The sequence below is a fragment of the Homo sapiens genome, chromosome 8 (assembly GCF_000001405.40).
Source record: "Homo sapiens chromosome 8, GRCh38.p14 Primary Assembly".
Classification (NCBI taxonomy): Eukaryota; Metazoa; Chordata; class Mammalia; order Primates; family Hominidae; genus Homo; species Homo sapiens.
This window is the reverse complement of record NC_000008.11, coordinates 80,076,538-80,100,121: the sequence shown is the minus strand read 5'-3', so window position 1 is coordinate 80,100,121 and position 23,584 is coordinate 80,076,538. Positions and strand designations below refer to the sequence as shown.

At 41.6% G+C, this 23,584-nt stretch overlaps 2 protein-coding genes and 2 long non-coding RNA genes across 21 annotated transcripts in view, besides 1 other annotated feature; 2 read left to right on the top strand and 2 right to left on the bottom strand.

Moving 5' to 3' along the window:
* TPD52-MRPS28 (TPD52-MRPS28 readthrough) overlaps window positions 1-23,584 on the top strand; it is a 252,848-nt gene that overhangs the window by 71,443 nt on the left and 157,821 nt on the right. The window lies entirely within an intron of this gene.
* TPD52 (tumor protein D52) overlaps window positions 1-23,584 on the top strand; it is a 140,483-nt gene that overhangs the window by 71,443 nt on the left and 45,456 nt on the right. For 5 of the 16 annotated variants that reach the window (NR_105033.2, NM_001025252.3, NM_001287142.2 and 2 more), the window contains exon 1: window positions 19,292-19,807. The exons of the other annotated variants lie outside the window; for them this stretch is intronic. Coding sequence is in view for 4 of the 5 variants with exons in the window: in NM_001025252.3 (NP_001020423.1) it covers window positions 19,669-19,807 (139 nt within the window). In the remaining variant the exon portion in view is untranslated. Of the gene's footprint in view, window positions 1-19,291; window positions 19,808-23,584 lie in introns of those variants that run through there. 16 annotated transcript variants of the gene reach the window in all.
* LOC105375918 (uncharacterized) lies at window positions 7,898-12,727 on the bottom strand. The gene is made up of 3 exons (XR_007060978.1): window positions 12,688-12,727; window positions 12,010-12,093; window positions 7,898-8,416 (listed from the first exon to the last, which is right to left on the bottom strand). It is a non-coding gene; the product is annotated as an uncharacterized LOC105375918 (long non-coding RNA).
* Window positions 14,749-14,798: a silencer, noted in NCBI's record as "silent region_19318". NCBI's record gives its function as "represses an Ori minimal core promoter by ATAC-STARR-seq in GM12878 lymphoblastoid cells {active_cell/tissue: GM12878}" and the evidence as "EXISTENCE:reporter gene assay evidence [ECO:0000049][PMID:35858748]".
* LOC105375919 (uncharacterized) lies at window positions 18,255-20,600 on the bottom strand. Of its 3 annotated transcripts, XR_929089.3 has the most exons (4): window positions 20,354-20,600; window positions 18,876-18,940; window positions 18,623-18,732; window positions 18,255-18,293 (listed from the first exon to the last, which is right to left on the bottom strand). It is a non-coding gene; the product is annotated as an uncharacterized LOC105375919 (long non-coding RNA). The 3 variants fall into 3 exon arrangements; XR_929088.3 differs by having other exon boundaries at window positions 18,623-18,940; XR_929090.3 differs by having other exon boundaries at window positions 18,256-18,293; window positions 18,650-18,940.

The following is a 23,584-nucleotide window of genomic DNA, read 5'->3' as shown; positions in this document are numbered from 1 at the left end:
ATCCTCTTTATCAAGAATCTAAATTTAAAATTGCGTGTTTTGATAAACATGCAGGTTAAATGTTTAGAACACTACTTAGAGAAGATGCTGGGGCCCATGCCTGCCTTCTTAGAAATCCACAGAAAGGAACTAGGGCTGCCAGTATTTGTTGTATCATTGGGCCATAATAGGTTTGTCATCTTGATAGGCTGTTTTCACCAAATATTTGCCAAGAAAAGAGACTTTAAGAATTAAATGTAGGCCTTAAACTTGTTCTACTTCTGCATTCAATAGATATCTGTTTCTGTTTCATTTTAAAAAGATGTTAGACCAGCTGGGCGCGCTGGCTTACGCCTGTAATCCCAGCACTTTGGGAGGCTGAGGTGGGTGGATCACTTGAGGTCAGGTGTTCAAGACCAGCCTGGCCAACATGGTAAAACCCCGTCTCTACTAAAAATACAAAAATTAGCTGGGCGTGGTGTCACGCTCCTGTAGTCCCAGCTACTCAGGAGGCTGAGGCAGGAGAATCACTTGAACCTGGGAGGCGGAGGTTGCAGTGAGCCGAGATCACACCACTGCACTTCAGCCTGGGTGACAGAGCGAGACTTCATCTCAAAAAAAAAAAAAAAAAAAGATGTTAGACCACCATCCAGTTTTGTGAACCTCCCTCACCTGTGGTGGAAGGTTCTTTGCAGATGGTAATACCCTCCCATCATTTGCAGCATCTCTAGCTTGGCCAGATATTCAAAACATTGTGTTTTTTGTTTGTTTGTTTGTTTTTTCATAAATGCCAAGAATTTAGCTACAGTTGGTCAGGCGATTGTCTACTTTGCATTAATAATGGCATTTGATATTATAATAGGGCCGTTATTTCCTTTATTATGAGCTTAGCCTTTCCATTGGAACTGCTGGAATACCTTGGGAGATATTGTGGGTTTGATTCCAGACAGCCATAATTAAAGCAAATATAGCAATAAAGCGACTCACACACATTTTTTGGTTTCCCAGTGTATGTAAGAGTTATGTTTACACTATACTGTAGTCTTTTAAATGCACAATAGGCATTATGTCTAAAAAATTGTGTATATACCCTCGCCCCCAAAACAAAACAAAACAAAACAAAATTGTGCACTTACCTCAGTTTAAAAATACTTTATTGCCAAGAAATGCTAACGGTCAGTGAGTCTTCAGTGAGTCCTAATGTTTTTTGTTGCTGGAGGGTCTTGCCTCAATGAGAATGGCTGCTGACTGATCAGGGAGGTAGCTGCTGAAGGTTGAGCTGGCCGTGGCAATTGATGGGCTCTTCCTTTCACAAAAAAATTTCTCTGTAGCATACAATGCTGTTTGATAGCATTTTACCCACAGTAGAACTTCTTTCAAAACTGGAGTCAAAACTCTCAAACCCTGCTGCTGCTTTATCAACTAAGTTTATGTAATATTCTAAATTCTTTGTTGTTATTTCAACAGTGTTTACGGCATCTTCACCAGGAGTAGATTTCATCTTTGCTCATCTATAAGAAGCAACTCCTTATCCCTTCAAGTGTTATCATGAGATTGCAGCTATTCAATCACATATCCAGGCTCCACTTGTAATTCTGTAATAGTTCCCTTGCTATTTCTGCCACATCTGCAGTTATTTCCTCCACTGAAGTCTTAAGCCTCTCAGAGTAATCCATGAAGGCTGGAATCACCCTCTTCCAAACTCCTGTTATGCTATGTTTTAACCTCCTCCCATGAAACATGAACTTTCTTAATGGCATCTAGAATGGTGAATCCTTTCCAGAAGGTTTTTAATGTACTTTGCCCAGACCCACCCGAGCAATCTCTGGCAGATTGGCCACAGTAGCCTTACAAAATGGATTTCTTAAATAATAAGACTTGAAAATAGGAATTACTCATTGATCCATGGTATGCAGAATGTATGTTGTATTAGCAGGCATGAAAACAACATTCATCTCCTTGTACATCTCCATCGGAGCTCTTGATGACTAGGTGCATTGTAAATGAGCAGTAATATTTGGAAAAGAAATCTTTATCTGAGCAGTAGCTCTCAACAGTGGGCTGAAAATATTCAGTAAACCATATTATAAACAGATGGGCTGTCATCCAGGCGTTGTTATTCCATTTCTAGAGCACAGGCAGAGTAGATTTATTTAGCATCATTCTTAAGGGCTTTAGAACTTTTGAAATGATAATGAGCATTGGATTCAACTTAAGGTCACTGGCTACATTAGCTCCTAAGAAGAGAGTCAGCCTGTCCATTGAAGCATTGAAGCCAGGCATTGACTTCTCCTCTCTAACTTTGCAAGTTCTAGAGGGCATTTTCTTCCAATAAAAGGCTGTTTCATTTACATAGACAATCTGTTGTTTAGTGTAGCTACCGTTTTAGTTTGTTCTTGCATTGCTGTAAAGAGCTACCTGAGACTGGGTAATTTATAAAGAAAAGGTTTAATTGGCTCACAGTTTCACAGACCGTACAGGAAGTATGGCTGGGGAGGCCTCAGGAAACTTAGAATCATGGTGGAAGGCAAAGGGGAAGCAGGGACGTCTTAGATGGGTGGAACAGGAGGAAGAGAGCAAAGTGGGGAGGTGTTACACACTTTTAAACAATCAGATCTCTTGAGAACTCACTATTGTGAGAACAGCAAGGGAGAAATCTGCCCCTATGATCTAATCACCTCCCAGCAGGCCCCTCCTCCAACACTGGGGATTACAATTTGACATGAGATTTGGATGGGAACACAGATCTAAACCATATCAGCTACCTTCATAAATTATCTTAGCTAGATCTTTTGGATAGTTTGCTGCAGCTTCCCTATCAGCACTTGCTGCTTCACCTTATACATTTATGTTATGGAGATGGCTTCTTTCCTTAATCCTCATGAACCAACCTCTGCTAGCTTCAGACTTCTTCTGCAGCTTCCTCACCTTTCTTAGCCTTCATAGAATTGAAGAGAGGTAGGACCTTGCCCTGGATTAGGCTTTGGCTTGAGGGAGTGTTGAGCTGGTTTGAACTTCTATCCAGAGCATTCAAACTTTGTCCATATCAGCAATAAGGCTGTTTTTGCCCTCTTATCATTCATGTGTTCACTGGAGTAGCACTTGTAATTTCGAAGCTTCAAGAACTTTTTCTTTGCATTCAAAACCTGGCAGGTGCAGGCGGTCTGGTTTTTGGCCTACAGAGACTATTGACATGCCTTTCTCGCTAAGCTTAATCATTTCTAGCTTTTGATTTAAAGTGAAAGATGTGCTACTCTTCCTGTCATTTGAACACCTAGAGGCCATCGTAGGGACATTAATTGGCCTAATTTCCATATTGTTGTGTCTCATCAAATAGGGAGGCCTGAGGAGAGGGAGAGAGATGAGAGAATGGCCAGTTTGTGGAACAGTCAGAGCACAAACATTTATCGATTGAGTTTGCCATCCTGTATGGGTGTCGTTTGTGGCATCCCAAAACAATTACAATAGTAACATCAAAGGTCACTGATCACAGATGACCATAACAGATATAATAATAATGAAAAAGTTTGAAATAATGAGAGAATTAGCAAAATGTGATGCAGAGACACAAAGTGAGCATGTGCTGCTGGAATAATGGCACTAATAGATAGACTTTCTGGACACAGTGTTGCCATAAACCTTCAGTTTGTAAAAAACATACTGTGAAGTGCAATGAAGTGGAGTGCAGTAAAACAGGAGTATGCCTGTACATGTAAACATGCTTTCTTTGGTGCTACTTCAGATACTTAGGAAGCCTTGACCATAGTCCAAGCAGATGAGTTTTGGTGCTTGAGTATTTTACCCCAGGCAGACTAGGAGAAGTTTGTGTGTGTGTGTGTGTGTGTGTGTGTTTGTGTGTGTGTGTTTGATAGTCTTTATTTATTTTGAGACAAGTTCTTGCTCTTGTCACTCAGGCTGGAGTACATTGGCACAATCATGGCTCACTGCAGCCTTGACCACCTGGGCTTAAACAATCCTCCCACTTCAACCTCTTCAGCAGGTGGGACTGCAGGTGCACACCACCATGCCCAACTAATTTTTGTATTTTTCATAGAGACGGGTTTTTGTCATGTTACCCAGGCTGGCCTCAAATTCCTGAGCTCAAGCAATATGCCTGCTTTGGCCTCCCAAAGTGTTGGGCTTGGAGGCGTGAGCCACTGTGCCTGGCCGATAGTATGTATGTATGTATGTATGTAGAGATGGAGTCTCACTCTGTTGCCAGGCTGGAGTGCAGTGTCGCGATCTCAGCTCACTGAAACCTCCGCCTCCTGGGTTCAAGCGATTCTCCTGCCTCAGCCTCCTGAGTAGCTGGGACCACGGGCGCATGCCGCTACACTCAGCTAATTTTTGTATTTTTAGTGGAGACAGACGGAGTTTCACCATGTTGGCCAGGATGGTCTCGATCTTTTGACCTCATGATCCTCCCACCTTGGCCTCCCAAGTGCTTGGATTACAGGCATGAGCCACCGCACCCGGCCTAGTCTTTGTATTTTAGGGCAGTTTTGGGTTTACAGAAAATTGAACAAGTAGTGCAGAGTTCCTTCACGCCCCTAGTTTCCCTTATTATTAACACCTTAAATTCATATGGTACATTTGTTACATTTGGTTAATGCTGAGACATTATTATTAACTAAAGTCTGTAGTTTTTATTAGTGTTGTCCAGTTCAATGGATTTTGACAGATGCATAATATGTAGCCACCATTGCAGTATCATACAGAATACTTTCACTGCCCTAAAAATCACCAGCACCCCAACCTAGTCATTCCTGCTTGCCTCCCCCTCAGCCCTTGGTAACCATTGATCTTTTTACTGTCTCCATAATTTTGTCTTTTCCAGAATGTCACATAGTTGAGATCTTACAGTATTTTGGCTTTTCAGATTGGCTTTTGTCAATAATATGCATTTAAAGTTTCTTTGTGTTTTTTCACAGCTTGCTAGTTCATTTCTTTTTAGTGCTGAATAATATTCCACTGTCTGGATGTACCACAGTTTATTATCCATTCACCTACTGAATGACATCTTGGTGGTTTCTTGTTTTTGGTGATCATGAATAAAGCCACTATGACCATTCACTACAGGGTTTTGTGTGGTCATAAGTTTTCAGCTCATTTGGGTAAATACCTGGGAGTGCAATTGAAGGATCTGTGATATATTCTTGGTCCCAGCATCTCTCCTCCTGCTGACAATTACCCTCCTTATTGTGACAACCTAACCAGGCCTGCCTCTCCCAGGGCTTCCTCTTCTTCACTTAGAGCATTTTCTGAACAAGTCTGGACACAAAGGTCTTGCTTATATTTTCAGGAAAGAGTATTTAAAATACTTCTTAATCATGGTTCCAACTTATTTCAACTCTTATAATTAAGTGATCATTTTTTTTTTAAATTATGGTAGAATATGTGTATATAAGATATAATTTGTGATTTTAACCATTTTTAAGTATACAGTTCAGTTGTATTCATCATATTCACATCATTGTGTAACCATCACCACTATCTGTTTCCAAAACTCTTACCTGGGGATATGATCATTTTAAAAGAGGAATTTGAAGAAATACATCTGAAGCTATATTTGGCAATATGTTTCCATCAGTAACTCCCAAAATCTCAGTGGCTATTGGCAACAATCTTTATGTCTCCCTCATGTTATATATACATACATATATATATATATATATATATATATATATATATATATATATATATATATATATAAAATTTTCTTTTGTCTAGAACTTAGTCACATGGCCACATCTAACTGCAAAGGAGCCTGGGAGGTGTAGTCTAGCTACCTGCGTAAGAATAAGAACAAATTGGCTTGGCGATTTGTTAGCATTCCTGGCCATATTAAGTAAGATTATTAAATCATACACATTGTTAACTTGATCTTTCAGAGATGACATGACAGTAATTGTATGGTTTCATAGATCTGGCTGTGTTTCAGGAGAGCATTTTTCCATCCCATGCTCTCTTTCCATCTAAACGTTAATTATCTTATCCTTTTAACACTGAGAGAGCTTCCTGGAATAAATAAAATTATATGCCTATTTTGATAAATACCTGTTTGATAGCGATGTTTTATAAAACTCTGAGAAAAGTCAACAAGGAGCCTTCACAGTGATTAATACAGCAGTTATTATGGTCAGATGTTAAAAAAAATCTCATGTCTTCAGTCTTGTGCCAAAAGGCAAAGAAAGTTTTGAAGCTTTCCACACACTGATTTGGTTTCAAGATAATGGGCTACTATTGAGTTTACATGTAGCATTGGTCTTCTGCTATTGTCTTTATAAAGGAAAGTATGTGAAATTTGGAATTGGAAATGTCATTTCTTAACCAGAGTAGCAGGTTCAGATGGTGAAGCTATCACTTTTGGCACAGGACTCTTGTTTCTTAATAAAATTTAATGAAAAATTGACAAGATTTGTGCAGTGTATATTTTTTTTAATGGTTGACCCACTGAATGCATCTAATTAGCTTATTACAGTTTAAAAGCAAGTTTAACTGCCTAAATGTATGACTTGGTATTTTGATCTTGTTTGTTAGGTCTCAGCTTGCTGATGATAGAAGTTTGTGGTCCAATATTAATTTTAAATAAGTGCCTACTGTTCTCTAGAAACTCCCATTCCCTTAAGGAAAAGTGTTTCATATGAGCCTCTCATTGCCAGGAATAGCTGTGTAAGCATTGTGGAAGTTTTTTCCACATTAAAATGTAGTCCACCAGTTCATTTATTCCTTTTAGGGTTGTGACAGTCGCTTGTGTTTATGCACCCCTGTAGAGCTGTCTTTAAACTCATTCAGCAAATTGGAAACATTTAGCTTGGATGACACCTCTTTAATCTTCCAGTAATCTCACCATAGAGACCACTGTACTCTCAAATACATTGTTAATACTTTTAGTAAGAATGGCCTGCTTTCATTCTCTTATTACTGAGCCATTATTCTGGACTCTGTTTATTATTATTATTATTATTCCAGAGTCGAAATAATTATCCCGTTGAAAAGACCAAGCATGTGCACACCCTGTTGTGACACAGCCGGTTTTGTCCTATCTGAACTTGCCTGCTTTGTGAACTGTTAGGGTCTCAGAAAAACAAAAAACAAAATCTTTTATTTTTAACATTTAATTTTTTATAGTTTTTATATTTTTTAATTGAGACAAAATATATGTATATAATTTACCATCTGTACCATTTGAAATGTACACTTCCTTGGTAATAAATATATTCTTTATTCCCCCTTCCACCTTTATTCCATCCTTTATTCCTACCCCCACCCCTGCTCAACTCCTCCTCTTCCCAGCCTCTGGCAGTAATTTAAAGTGTGAGTGACAATCTCACCTCTTATAATTATGTGATCTTTTTTTTTTTTTAAATTGTGGTAGAATGTGTATAACACGGAATTTGTGATTTTACTCTCTCTTCACGAGATCTACAGTTTTTAGCTCCACTTGAGTGAGAACGTGTGACAGTTGTATTTCTGTTCCTAGCTTATTTCACTTAACATAATGACCTCTAGTTCCACCCATGTTGCTGCAAATGACAAGATTCATTTTTTTATGGCCAAGTAGTAATAAATTGTGTATATATACCACAATTTTCTTTATTCAACTATTAATGAATATAGGTTGATTCCATATCATTGCTATTGTGAATAGTGCTTCAATAAACGCGCACGTGCAAATATCCTTGACATCTGATTTCTTTACATTTGGGCAAATACCCAGTAGTAGGATTGCTGGATCTATTAATATGTTAATTCTGTTTTTAATTGTTTTGAGAAATCTCCATACTGTTTTTCACAGTGGCTGTGCTGGGAAGATGTGTCAGTGGGTGGGGGGAGGATAAAACGAGGTTAGTTAATGGTTACAAACATACCTTAGAAGGAATAAGTTCTAATGTTCGATAGCAGTGTAGGATGACCATAGTTAACAACAATGTATTGTAGATTTCAAAATAGCTAGAAAAGAGGACTTGGAATAATGCCAACACACAGAAATGACGAATACTCGAGGTGATAGATGCCCCAAACCCCTAATTTGATCATTACACAGTGTAAGCATGTGATAGAGTATCATATTTGTGCCCCCATATACATGTACACATATTTGTATCAATAAGAAATATATACAAAAAGCCAAACCTTTTTAGCTATAAAATCTGTCTCTTATGTTCAAATGTATATAGTTAGAAAGTGCTGGAGTCCTGTAACATCAGTATTCAGAGTTTACTCAAGCTTTCATCCTCAGGCAAACTTAGCAGCTGTTATCTAAAGCCAGACTTGCAGCATCAGAAATCACCTGGAGCTTGTCCAGAAAGCAAGAGTCTTGGGCTCCACCCCAGACTTTCTAACTCAGAATCTGTAGTTCCACAGGCTCCCCTGGTGGCTCTGGTATGTAATAAAGTTATTTGAGAAGCACTGGCTGGAGATCTTTTACCTGAGCCTGTAATCATGGAATCACCCATCAGTATGTGGAGTGACCATAACATTTCAACTCAAACTCTATTTCTAAAATGAAAAAATCTGTCTATTGTATCTAATTAAGTATATGACAAATATCAAGCTCTCTTTCCACTATTTTCTGGTGTTCTCATGATCTGACAATGACAGTGGCAGGACCATGTACTGAGATGACCGAAGTGAAAATAGTAATGCTCTTTTGTGTATTTTTTTTTTTTTTTTTTGAGATGGAGTCTCTGTCGCCCAGGCTGGAGCGCAGTGGCGCGATCTCGGCTCACTGCAAGCTCCGCCTCTTGGGTTCAGGCCATTCTCCTGCCTCAGCCTCCCAAGTAGCTGGGACTACAGGTGCCCGCCACCACGCCCAGCTAATTTTTTTGTAATTTTAGTAGAGACGGGGTTTCACCGTGTTAGCCAAGATGGTCTTGATCTCCTGACCTTGTGATGCCCGCCTCAGCCTCCCAAAGTGCTGGGATTACAGGTGTGAGCCACTGCGCCCAGCCTCTTTTGTGTATTTTAGAATCCAGTCTGTGACTCCTTGTGATAGAGAATTCAGGCATTCTTGAGACTTCTCAACAGATTCTGACTTTCCCAGGTACAGGCTTATCCAGACGACATGTTTGGAGATAGGTTGAGAGAGGGAATGACATCTTATGCTTATTATATGTCACTCTTGCTCTTCAGTATTTGAAGGAAACACTGTGTGAAGAACAAAAACCTTCTGTCCTGGCTGCTGACATTAACTCAATTTTAGTTATTTTGAGAGGGCAGAAGAATATTCTAAGTAGACTGTTAGGGGTTCCTAACAAGTGAGAATTTCTTTGCAAGTCAGTGGGCCAAATAAACGATTTCTTTAAAAATACAAATCCATTTTATCACTTAAGAGTATTTACATTTAGTTCCAAATAATTTGCATATGCCTGCTAGGTTATGCCTTTTTATTCTAGAGAAGAGGCTCCAAAGAGGATAGTTTTTTTTTTTTTCTTTCTTATAATACTGTGCTATAATAGTCTTTTTTCCCCCATTGGGATGGAAAATAAAGGAGAAAAGAAGTGGCATTCCCATAGGGAATATTTCCTAAGTTTCTAATGCAAAGTTTCTAATCTGAAAACTGCCACATATTTTTAAAAGAATGCCAACATGATTTAATCTAGTTTCATTCAGTTTAGGAACTGAAATGCCCCTGGGTGAGGGACAGCATCCCTGAACCTTCCTTGGCCCCTGGTCTGCCCCGCCCCTCCCCATCCCCACTGTGCTTCCTCTTCTGCATTGTCTTCTTTGCTCTTAAACACACACATTTGAAAACTTTATTTATTTGTTTTTTAAAGAGGTGGCACCATCGTAGCTCACTCTAGCCTTGAACTCCTGGGCTGAAGTGATCCCTTCTGACCCAGCCTCCTGAGTAACTGGAACTACAGGTGTGCACCACTGTGCCTGGCTAATTTTTATTTTTTATTTTTTTTGTAGAGCCAGGGCCTCGCTTTGTTGCCCATGCTGGCCTTGAACTCCAGGCCTCAAGCTATCCTCCTGCCTCAGCCTCCCAGAGTTCTGGGATTATAGGTGTGAACCACCATGCCTGGCCTAAAATACTTTTTAAAACTTCTTTTCATTCGCTTCTTCCCTTTCCTTTCCTCCACTGCCTACCACTTCTGCTTATCTGACATCTACCATCACTCTCACTAAAACTTCAGTGCGAGATCACCAGACCCCAAGTCCTGTGGCTTCTTCTTGCGTCTCTTTAGCATTTGATCTTATCCAGTTTCTCTCCTCCCTTGATTCCTGTGACATTGGTCACTCAAGGTTTTCTTCCAGATGTTTTGCTTCTTGAGAGCAATGGAATTGGAATCCTAAGTTTTACCACTTTCTAGCTCTGTGCCTAGGGCAAGACACTTAACTTTGATGTGTCTCAGTTTTGTTGTAAGATAAGGGTAGGGAAAAACTTACCCCATAAAATTGATGCAAGTGCATAGAAGAATGTCTGGCACATAGTAAGGGTTCCTTAAGGATAAGTCATAATTATTGTCATCATTAAAGGTCATTGCTTGCCCTTTTTAGGCTCTTTGGCCTGCATGCTGATTGTAGGTGTTCACTAATTTTTCCACTCCTTTTCATAGGGCCTCTCTTCTCTTCAAATTTTTTTTTGACGATCTCTGGGTTTCCCACATTTTATATCTTAGCCCCTAACTTTTTCCCTGAGGATAGAAGTTTAATTTCTAACCTCAGGCTGGCCATTTACTCCAGAAGTCTTGTGAGCTCTATTAACCAAATCTGCCAAAATGCAGCTCATTCTCTTATCACCTAAAGTCTCTTCTCTCTGTTCTTCAGTCCTGCCTCTCTTTTGCCACCATCTTCATTAATGCGGTCACTGTCCTTTACAACTCCTGCTGGGGTATCACACGTTGGCTTCTCATTGCCCGTCACCCAAGTCCTCCAGTTGATCTCCAGCATCTGTTGATTGTCTGTTCATGGTGTCATGCAGTGTGTCTTTGCTTTGCTGTTCCCGCTTCTGTTCCATGCAGGGCACATGCCTTTTGTATTAGTTGGTTTGGGCCGCAATAACAATACCATAGAATAGGTGGTTTGAACAATGGAAATTTATATTCTCACGATTCTGGAGGCTGAAAGTCCAAGATCAAGGTGCTGGTGGCAGGGTAGATAGGTTTCTGGCATGGGCTTGCTTCCTGGTTGACAGAGAGCTGCCAGGCGCAGTGGTTCACGCCTGTAATCCCAGCACTTTGGGAGGCCGAGGCGGGCGGATCACGAGGTCAGGAGATCGAGACCATCCTGGCTAATGCAGTGAAACCCCGTCTCTACTAAAAATACAAAAAATTAGCTATGTCCTCCCTGGCCTTTTTTCTGTGAAAAAGGCCTTTTGCGTGAGCATCCCTAGTGTCTCTTCTTACTAGGACAGCAGTCCTATTGGATTAGGGCCTCACCCTATGACCCTGTTTAATCTTAATTACCTCCTAAAGACCCCATCTCCAAATACAGCCATATTGGGAGTTAGGGCTTCAACACATGAAGCTGGGGAGACACAATTCAGTCCAGAACACCCTTGGCGCTGTTGCTGGGTAGCTGTCCTGACTTCCCTCTCCCCTCGGCAGTCCAGCTTCAGACAGGGGTGAGAATGATCTTTCTGACACGTGGCTTTGGCCTCCCATTCCTAATTACTCGACTTGGCTCCCCACGGCCTAGATGCAGTGAGAGGAAAATGACCACTGTAGGGTGGCTTCCTTCATTTCTCAGTTCCTTATGCTCACTCCTCTGGAAATTGGAGATAACATGACTAACCTCGTGTTATTGAGGGATTAAATAAATTCTAATGAAGAATTGTTGCTTTAATCTGACGAAAACCAAATTCCTACTCTCCAGCCTCCATTCGAGTTCTTCCATCACCTTGTTACTCCAAGTGTGATCCCATGTGGTTCCAGGGCCAGCAGCCTCCCATCACCAGGATGCAGACTCTGCATCACAGCAAGATCCCCAGGGCCATTAGATGTGAGGGACTGGCTTATCCTTACTGCCCGGCTCTAGGCTACAGCCACAGGATGGAGAGGACAGGGACTTGGAGGCACGTACCAGGCTTCAAACTGCGGCTCCTTTACTTGCTAGCTCTATGCCCAAAGACAGGTTTACAGGAACTGTCCTTGTCTTGTTTCCCCTCTGAAAAATAGGGAGAGGCAGAGGTTTACCTCACAGAGGTTTTGAGGATTAGCTGAGAAATTTTGTAAATAAGAGAGCATCTACCCTTGTGATTTTAAATTGAATTTCATACTTAAAATCAAGTACTTTTTATTTGGAGTCAAGGTTTGTTTATTGTGGCACAGTGTCGGGGAATGAAGAGGTGTGGGGTGTGGGGTGTTCATTAACCTCTCAGCCTCTCTGCCCTCTCACCCTGTGCAACAGGGTCCCCACTGGTCTCCCTCTGGGAAGATGTGACCAGCATGGGATATGATGGGGAGACTTCTTTTCTGTAGAAGGTAAACCAACTGCTGCTTCGGTGGAAGGTGGAGAGAGCCCTTCCAGCTCTCAGAAGGGGCCTGGAGCCGGTATGTGCCTGTGTGTCTGTGGCTGGAGCCCAGTCCCATTAGGCCCTGCCCCCGTGATTGCTGTGAGAGGTGGTTGCCACACACTTTCTCCACAGCGCCCTCAGGGCTGCTGAATCTAAGGCAGAGGAGTTCTTGTTTTTTGTTTGTTTGTTTTTTAGCCCTTTTCAAATTTACAGAAGGATTGCAAGAATAAGAATAGTGTAAATACCTGCTCCTGTGTTACTTTGCTGAAGATAATGGCTTCCAGCTCCATCCATGTCCCTGCAAAGGACATGCTCTTGTTCCTTTTTATGACTGCATAGTATTCCATGGTGTATATGTGCCAACAACACAGGTGTGGGGGAGGGAGAGCATAAGGAAGAATAGCTAATGAATGCTGGGCTTAAGACCTAGGTGATAGGTTGATTTGTGCAGCAAACCACTATGGCACACACTTACTTATGTTACAAGCCTGCACATCCTGCACATGTACCCTGGAACTTAAAAGTTGATGGGGGGAAAAAAAAAGGACACCTGCATTCTCTACTCAGGGTCACTGTTAACGTTTAGCCCCATCCGGTTGACCAGTCTCTCTGTGTGTGGATGTCTGTACACATGCATACTCTTATTTTCTGAGCAATTTGAGAGGAAGTTGCATATATCATGGCGTCTGCCCCTAAATACTTCAGTATATATTGCCATTGCCTAAGAAAGGCAATATTCTCACCACAGTTGTCAACGTCAGTAAATTTGATTTTTTTTTTTTTTTTTTTTTTTTTTTTTTTTGTTGAGACAGCGTCTCACTCTTGTTGCCCAGGCTGGGATGCAGTGGCACGATCTCAGCTCACTGCAATCTCCGCTTCCCGGGTTCAAGCAATTCTTGTGCCTCAGTCTTCTGAGTAACTGGGACTGCAGGCACGTGCCCCCCCAACCAGCTAATTTTTGTATTTTTAGTAGAGACGGGGATTCACCATATTGGCCAGGCTGGTCTCGAACTCTTGATGTCAGGTGATCTGCCTGCCTTGGTCTCCCAAAGTGCCAGGATTACAGGTGTGAGCCACCAAGCCCAGCCAGTAAATTTGAAATTGATACAAGACTTTTATCTAATCTGAGGTCATATTCCAGTTTTTTCAATGGACCTAGTAATGCCAGTCTCCTTTAATGTGGATTTTCACAGTCTTTGTCCTTTATGACATCGATGTTTTTGAAGAATGCAGCCCCTCCTCTTTTAAAAACTAGAACCTTCCGGTCAGGCTCGGTGGCTCACACCTGTAATCCCAGCACCTTGGGGGACCGAGGCGGGTGGATCACGAGGTCAGGAGATCGAGACCATCCTAGCCAATATGGTGAAACTCCGTCTCTACTAAAAATACAAAAATTAGCTGGGCGTGGTGGTGTGCGCTTGTAGTCCCAGCTACTCAGGAGACTGAGGTTAGGAGAATCACTTAAACCGGGGAGGCGGAGGTTGTGGTGAGTCAAGATCACGACACTGCACTCCAGCCTGGCAACAGAGTGAGAGTCCGTCTCAAAAAAAAAAAAAAAAAAACTAAAAAAAAAAAAAAGCAAAAAAACCCGAAGCAACAACAAAACCCCAACAAAAACTTGTTTTGGATTTGTCTGATGTTTCCTCATGATTCGATTCAGGTTCTGCATTCCAAGCCTGAACACTATGTAGGTATTCAGAGCGGTCCATCTGCCTCTCACTGGGGTATGGCCATCTCTATCCTTCAGTCAGGGTGGGGCTTTTCTCCATTATACTGTTACTACACTTGATCTCAGCCAAAAGGCCAAGAAGTGATCTCCACTCAATGTTTTTCCTTCTGGCAGCTAGTTAATCTGTGGAGAGGCACTTTAAACATCATTTAAATATCATCTTCTTCCTCAAAATTTCTCCCGAGCTTTAGCATCCAGCGATGATTTTTGTCTGAATCTTTACAAAGATGGTCAGGGTGGCATTCTTCTGTAGTTCTTCCTTCTCTCTATTTATTACTTTCTTGGACTCTTGGATTCCTGTTTTTTTCAGTGGTTTATAATCCCTGACTGTCCCTAATTTTTTTGGCGGCCTGATTGTCCCATATTGGCTAGTTGGAGCCCCTTCCAGCCAGCTGCTGTATCACCATGACACGTCTGCATTCCCCAAGTATCTGCGGCCTGCCTCTCCTGGTGGACAGCCACATTGTCTCCCTTTGACGTGCCCTCCAAGTAAATATTGTGTTTCATAGCTTTTAAATCAGACTGTCCTTTATATGTCTTTCAAGTTTGTGGAGAATTTACACTGACATATTTGAGTGATGAGTTAACAGGCAGACAGAAACTTAATTTTCTTTATAGTCATTTGTACCTACTACCATTTCCGTTTGCAATGACATGAGTCGTCTCCGGTTATTACCCTGCAGTACATACGCACTTTACTGGCTGCACCTAGTTGACTTCTGAACTGCCCTTGGGCTCCCTCTGCTGGCATAGTGGTGCGTGAGCACTTTTCTGGGGTCATGGAATGGATTTCTCTTTCTGCCCATTTTCTTTCTTTTGGTTTGTGGTTTTCTCTCTCATAAATTATTACACAAACATGGACCATACAATACAACCTTCTTTCAAACCTGATTTGTTTGCTAACTGTATCAGTACCTTTCCATATAAAATTCATAAATATTTTTATATAATTATGTCAGTGTTTCCATATTTTTCTATTACCTGAATGTTCTTTTTAGCATTTAAATAATCCATTTTTAGTAGGCATTTGTATTGCTTTTTTCCATTTCAGGTAGCATCTAAAGTGAATGTCCCTTGCATGTATACTATTCATATGTGACTTAATAAGTAGAGCTTGCTAAATGGGTAGGAACTTACAGGAAAAGGGGAAACTCTAGTTTGAGAAAATTGTCTGGGCTAAGTTTAGGATGTGTTCAACAAACAGGAAAGTCAAGTTTGGCTAAAGCATGGTTGAGTAATAGTGGGAAATATGGTCAGAAAGTAGGTATGTTAGGACTCTTTCTACTGAAATGATGAAATTCAACTCCAGCCACAAGTGGAGCAGAACAAAATTGTGTTTGTTTAATAACTGGGAAGCCCAGGGTAGCTGGAGGCAGGGGCTTAGATGCTGCTGCGCCATCCCTTACCTGTCTGTTTCTGTTTCTCCTTCTGTCCCTTCCCAGTCTCAGCACTGAGTCTCTTGCCCATTGGCCTGGTGAGGGAAGGAGCTGCCAGCCCCACCCAACAGCTCAGGTTACAGAGAGAGTCACTTTCTTCCATTACTCACAGAGTAAACATCAAGGAAGGCCACTGATTGATTGACAGTGTCTGGGTCAGATGTCTATCCTTAGGCCAGTCCCTGTGAACAAGGGGATGGGGTGTCTGCGTGGACCAGATCTGAAGCACAGGCCCATGCCTGGGGCCAGGGGGTGGGAACTATGGACCTCTCTCCCCACTGAGAACCCCAGGGAGCAGGTGAGGTGAAATTCCTCTAGGGGAAGAGGGGCAAAATTGACAAGATAGCAGATGTCTACCATACTGCTGTGGGGCCTGGTCCCTCCCAGAAGGAAAAACATAGTAACAATAGAGTGGGTCTCACCCTCCACCTGGGTCTCAAGTAGGGTGTGGATGAGGACAATGGAAATGAAGGAAAGGTTAGAAGGCCTGTGGTACCGGTTGGTAGATAGCTCTTCGTGCTTTCTCCATATGGAGTGAGAGTGCTTGGATGTGATTCCTTCAAAGTCAGGTCTAGGAGACTCAGGATGCCTAATCTAGAGGTAAGAACATTGTGAGGAAAGCCAGTGAATTCAGTCTTGTGCATGCTGACTTTGAAGTACTTTTGGAAGAGCCAAGTGGAATTATCCACAGGACAGGACCAAATCTTACCTGGTTCTTCCCCAGGCCGACTAGTCCACAACAGGAAATAAAAAGAGTTGCCCCGATACCAAGGTGTACTAGTCCATTCTCACACTGCTATGGGGAAATACCTGAGACTGGGTAATTTATAAAGGGAAAAGGTTTAATTGACTCACAGTTCTAGATGGCTGGGGAGGCTTCAGGAAACTTACAATCATGGCAGAAGGCACCACTTCACAGGGTGGCGGGAGAGAGAATGAGTGCCCAGCGAAGGGAGAAGCTCCTTATAAAACCATCTGTTCTCCTTATAAAGATCTCTTAATAAAACCGTCAGAGAACTATCTCATTCACTATCAGGAGAAGAGCATGGGGGAACCGCCCCCATGATTCAGTTTACTCCACCTGGTCCCGCCCTTGACATGTGGGTGTTATTACAATTTAAGGTGAGATTTGGGTGGGGACACAGAGCCAAACCATATCACAAGGCTTTCTCCTCCTTGCTGGGATTGTACCCATAGCCTCTTTCTGAGTCCTCTCTCTTTTAGCCTCTTTATGCCTGCAGTGCATCCTTATACCATTTCTAGAGTCATCTTTATAAAACTTATACTCTCCGTATGACTCATAAATCCTGTTTTTTTTTTTGCACAGTATATTAAGTATAAAATTTGTTAAAGTCTTTAATGGTCTGCCCCCAAGCTACATTTCCATTTTGTATGTCTTTCAGTTCCTTTCTACTTTGTATTTGGCTGTTGAGTTAACTGAATTTTTGCCATTCCATTAACCCATCCCATGCTTTTCCCACTTCTAGATTTCACTTTTCTTGTAGGCTAGAATGTCTTGACTGGGATCTGACTGGAGATAATGAGAACAAAAACTGGTTCAAAGAGCCAGGATGTTGCATAAAAGTCCTAAGATTGTATCTAAGCAGGTAAAATAAAAATTTTAGGCAATTACTTAAATTTGAAATGCTCACATTTATTAATAAGGCATGTAACATCTACATGAGCCATCATTTGCTTTTTTAATTCCACATTGATTAGGAGCCAAACCTTCAGGGCAGGTATCCGGTAGAGCGCCCTGGAGAGGCCCTGGATAGGCACAGGCGCCTGTCAGGGGGCTCTTCACATGCTGTGTGCTGCTGCTGGGAGAAGAGGGGGCCAGAGACTAGGGGGCTTCTAAGAAGAGGTGGCATTTCTGCCTCAGTGTTGAAGGATGAATAACTTTGACAGGCTGGAAAAAGGTGACATTTCAGGTAGAGCGTGTCACATGGATGTAAATACCAAAGGTCAAGGACATGGGCTTGAGAGATGGTGAGAAGGATGGAGGTGACTGTGGCTTGCATTCTATCCGTATCACTATTAATTACCTTCTAATGCCTTTGGCTCTAGGTGGTGGAACAAGTAAAGTAATGGACAAATACTTTTTCTACCAATATTTAGTGACCAAATGCAGAGTTATGGAGAGGGCCAGGGACCTCATGAACCATACTCTTTCTAGTCTAGGGACATAACTCCAATGCCTTTCCTGTCCCAGTAAGAGGCCATGGATTTCAAGAAGCCAGACAATCCATTCTTTCAGATAATGATAAAAAAGAAACCATTTATTTTATTTCTAAGTATAGAATGAAACATTTATAGTTGCCCAAATTTTGGTACCTTTTAGGAGAAAAATACAGATTTTTTTGTTGTTAAAAATAAACTTAAAAAAAAAAAAAAAAGACTTACCATAGTCCGGGCACGGTGGCTCACACCTGTAATCCGAGAACTTTGGGAGGCCGAGGCAGGCGGATCACCTGAGGTCAGGAGTTTGAGACCAGCCTGGCCAACATGGCGAAACCCCATCTCTACTAAAAATACAAAAATTAGCCGGGCATAGTGGGTGGTGGGTGCCTGTAATCCCAGCTACTTGGGAGGCTGAGGCAGGAGAATCACTTGAACCCAGAAGGTGGAGGTTGCAGTGAGCTGAGATTGTGCCATTGTACTCCAGCCTGGTCACAAGAGCGAAGCTCTGTATCGAAAACAAAACAAAAAAAGACCTACTGTAAATAGAGTACAACATGAGACTAACAAAAATAACAAATAAAATCATCCAGCATATATTCTGTATTTAAAAAAAAAAAATCACAAGATGAATACAGACCATCTTGGTGCATATGTATTTTATACACTAGACACATGCTGATGTTTTTAATGCTTAAAATATATTAGGTTTCATACTTGCTTCCAATCCAAGGAGAGTATATCTGAGCTCTTTTTTTTTAGATTTGAAAACCGCCTTTTAGATTAGATTAGAACACTGCCTTTTTTTTTGTTATGCAGTAACAGATCATTGCCCACCTGAAAGCGAGTCGCCTTTATTTTTACCTCCTTAGTAGAACCAGCAGGAGCTGCAATTGCTGTTGCTTGAGCCAAGGCCACAGTCAGCATAGAAAGGTTCTGCTAAGAGACTGTGTTAAAGGAAATAAATTTGGTGACTTAGTTTTGTTTTACAAGCTAGCTGTGGCCCAGTCCTTCTGCAGGGTGGGTACGCAGGTTTATTGCAGCTCTGCAGAGCCATGGCCTTAGACAAACAAAGAAGGTGTGGGAATACCCGGGAGCTTTCCATTCAAAGTAGATTCTTCTCCTTTGAGTGCATGTAACTGAAGCACCAGCTTTCTAAAAAAAAAAAAAAAAAAAAAAAGAGAGAGAAAAGAAAAGTCAGTCTGAAGTTTTTGTGACACTCAGCCAGACTCCACATTAGATAAAGTAATCATGGAAATACAGCTTTATTTTTATACCAAGTTGTGCTTAGAAAGCTGATTGCTAAACCAGGAAGCTTGGCTTTCAGAATTTTACTGTAATCCAGGGTGGAAAAAAAGTATCACTCAGATGGCATTTGTGGGAGATTACTGACTGGTAATCCCTCCTTGTCCTAGAAGATTAAGTCTGCCCTGGTGTAGTCATGGTCAGCTGATTTTTTTATTTATTTATTTTAAATAAATTGTAGTTTCTTGTTGTAAGTCAGCCAGTGTCTGATGTTTGCCTGAACTGTTTGTACCTCTGGGCCATATTGCAGAACCCTGCCCTTCTTTGTTGACTGAGGAAAGCTCGCTCCCTGCCCAGGTTTTTCATTGTTGATCGAAATTAACACCAGGTGGTGAATAGAGCCCCTCCTAAGGTTGCTCAGGATAAATCATTTATTAAATAGGTCTGCTTATCAGGAGGGGCGTGAAGGCTCCCAAAAGGAAATGCTGGCACCTGGGCCCAGAAGCCAGGGCCTCTAACTCCTGGGGTTGATTTCTTCAGTGAAGTTGCACCCTACAAAGGGAATATGGCCAAAGCGGCACTCAACTGAAGGCTGATATCAGGCGATTAGACAGCCATGCATTCTGCGTTTGTCTGGAATGGATTGTAGAGAGATGGACTTATATGAGGACTACCAGTCCCCGTTTGATTTTGATGCAGGAGTGAACAAAAGCTATCTCTACTTGTCTCCTAGTGGAAATTCATCTCCACCCGGATCACCTACTCTTCAGAAATTTGGTAACTACTAATTTTGTAAAGTTAAGTTTGCTTGGAATAAAACCTAGACATAACTTGGGGTTTGCCTGGCTTTAAAATTGTTAGTGTAAAGATGTACCAGGGTGGTGTTGGGTTGTAACTAGCTAATAAGCTATTCTAGATTCAAAGTACAGAGATAGATGGCTCATTAAATATTTAGAATATGTGTATACTTAGAAGTTAGATTTTAAAGTTAGTACTATTTATGCGATCACTAGACTTCTCCATTGATAGATATTCCAAGCTCACTTTGAGTTTGTTGAGCTGGTAAATAACAAAAAAGGAGGAATCTGAAGTCCTTGGTTTCTAGTTGCTTAGGTAATTTACGACAACTTTCCCGATTTTTCTCTTTAGTAAAATGATGGTTAAGCACTGACTCAGTTCAAGGTCTTGCTAATGACTGTCCTGGGTTTTGTTATGGAATATTGAGAGCAACTTACAGAAATTGCTAGGCAAGAGATTTTTTTTTTTTTAAAGAAAAACTAGAAATTGCTGTACCTTTAGAAGCAGTTATTCCTTCATACTTACCAGTATGAGATTGCTTTGAAGGCCAGGAGCACCATCAGGGAGGCCCTTCCTTTATTGGCACAAGGCAGCAGAAAGCCAGAAGCAGCTTAGCCATCCTCCCGGCTGGGTCCCTCATCTCATAGCCAATGCTGGGAACTGGTTAAATGACCTTCTCTGTAATTTGCCAAATAAGCAATCAGGTTTTTCCAGAAGTTAATTTTTTCCTTATTAATGAAGAACAGGTCACATTTTGTTCATTTTAAGCTGAAAAAATGGGTAACCTAGAAAAAAACATGGTAAAGGTGACAGCATGAAACTTAGTTTTAAGTATTTTAGGTTTGTGTATTTGCCGACAGTAGGGATGTGTGAAGCAGCATTCCTCTCTTGGTTGCACCTGGTAGCCATCTTTCCCCAAAAGTGGCTGGGATTTCCAGGAACAGGAAAATGTTGAATATAACAGAGAAGGGGTAGAGCTGGTCTGTAGAAGTTGGGGGCAGGAGGCAGCAGCTTGATGTCTGCTGGGGGATTCTGATTGCCAGGAAACTTTCTCCAGTGCTGACCTTGCCTTGCCCAAGTGGCCCCCCTCAGACCTCTGTAATAAAGGGGCCTGGGCTCCCCCTTTGCCCAGCCCCCTTCTAACTTATAAATTTTATGTATAATTTAATAGGGGCCACACAGAATGGGGAAGCTAGAGCTTGATAATGGACTGAAACTCAAGTGACTTGCGGGGGAGGGAGGGAACCTTTGAGAAGCTGGGGCTGTGGTTTTGTGACTTCAGGTGGACCTTGATCGGTGTGCAAGCATCCAGATTCCCAGGAAGATTGACACTGCTTGCTTCTTTTAGTTCCCTTCTACCCTTCTTGTCTCTTGGTTTCACCTCCTTTCATTTTCCAAGTTATGGTCATGGCTGCCTTGGGATGTTTTCTGTCAAAACCAGGGCAGTTGTAGGGTTGGGTGTACCTCTAGGCAGATTCTGAAAGATTATCTTCACAATTCCTGTTAGCTGTTCGAAGGAACCTGGGGTTGTGAGATTTAAAAAATTATTAAAAAGCAAATGAATAACAGTAATGAAAAACAAACTCATGTAGCTAGGTTTAGTAGTTTGCATTAATTGAAAGAAAAGAGGGTGAACAAGCATTAAAACAAGCAGAAACCACCCTCAGCAGTCATCTGTAAGAACACAGTGATTTTAAAATGGCCAAATAAAAGTGGGGGCCTGGAAGAGTGATTACTCATCTCTGTGCCCATGACCCCTCAGGGCATAAGAAGTCTGCACACCTGTCTGAACATCAAACATGGTTGGTCGATGGAATGAATAATGTGTCCTCCGTGTGTTTGCACTCTTTGTATTTCTACGTAGAAGCTTTTAGGACCAATACATTATGAATCCATTAAAAGTTCTTGTGGCTTTTGGCCACTATGTATTTTCTTAATCACCAGACAAGTAATACAGACAAGAAGGACTGATATAAAAAGGAATCCTACCCAGAGAGGTTGGGAATACTGATTTGAAAAGAGTGAAAAATATCTCTGATATTTATCCAAAATGCCATCATGGGGCAAACGGGAAAGTAATGAGATTTTATCTATGGGCAGGATGTTCCTAAGAAGTAATTAAAGCGAAGGTTAGGATGAGGACAGTGGCTGAAACAAAATGAAGCCTTTTATTAGGGAGTTTTAAACTCCTTTGACACAACCAACCCATATTCAGAAATGCCTTATACCTCCTTACCTGCAATCCTCACAAATATAAGAATCTATCAATAACTGAAGCAAAATTTTATGAACCAGAACTTCTCCTTACTATATGTGATGTACTCTGACATTTTATACTATTTGATGCCATTTCTTCTTTTAAAGTGCTCATCTGGTTCTGCTAACTGGATTTTACAACCCATAGTGTGAAAACACCAATTTATAATAGTTTCAGAATCTGGAACATAAGCTTTGTTTGTCTTTTTAGTTCACCTCTGTTTCCCCAAGCACCAAGAATAGTGCTTGACATTATATGGCTCAAAAACTTTGTGGAATGCATGAATGAATGAATGACACTGGTAAGGAGTCGTTCACACTCCAGTTCATTTTACGGATGTGAAGATTGAGGCTGAGAGACATATGTGATGTTCTCAACTCACAAAGTTTAGTTAGGCTAAGATAGGACTAGCACTCATCTCTTAATTCTTAAGCTAGTGGTTTGGTTTTTTGTTTTTTTTAGACCGCAACATCTCAGCCTCTCTGGTAATGGATATTATAGAACAGATTAACTATTCAAGGCTTAAGTTCTCCTTTGGTCAAGTGTTTTACCGTGGGAATAATTTGTTGATACTTTATACGCCACTTGGATCTCAACATTCTATTCCATCTTTGGGCTGAACATTATGAGGACCAGGGTCTCACAGCTGGGGTCTTTTGTTGCATTATCTCTTCCATTCTGTGAACACCCTTAAGGATAATATCCCAAATGTTATTTACATAGCACCTATCTTCCTCTTAAGAATTTTTTTTTTTTTTTTTTGAGACAGAGTCTTGCTCTGTCGCCCAGGCTGGAGTGCAGTGGTGCAACCTTGGCTCACTGCAACCTCTGCTTCCCGGGTTTAAGCGATTCTTCTGCCTCAGCCTCCCAAATACCTGGGACTATAGGTGCGCGTCACCACATCGTGCTAATTTTTGTATTTTTAGTAGAGACGGGGTTTCACCATATTGGCGAGGCTGGTCTTGAACTCCTGACCTCGTGATCCGCCTGCCTCGGCCTCCCAAAGTGCTGGGATTACAGGCGTGAGCCACTGGGCCGGGCCAGAATTTTCTTTTTTAAAAAAAACTTTTGGCTGGGCGCAGTGGATCATGCCTGTAATCCCAGCACTTTGGGAGTCTGAGGCGGGCAGATCACTTGAGCTCATGAGTTTGTGACCAGCCATCATGGTGAAACCCCATCTCTACCAAAAGTAAAAGAATTAATCGGGCATGGTGGCACACGTCTGTGGTCCCAGCTACTTGGGAGGCTGAGGTAGGAGGATTACTTGAGCCCAGGAGGGGATTGCAGTGAGCTGAGATCACACCACTGCACTCCAGCCTGGGTGACAGAATGAGACTCCATCTCAAAACAAACAAACAAAAAACCCTTTTATTTGAGGTTCAGGGGTGCATGTACAGGCTTCTTATATGGGTAAACATGTGTCATAGGGGTTTGATGTACAGATTCTTTCATCATCCAGATACTAAACCTGATACACAGTAGTGATTTTTTTTCCCTTT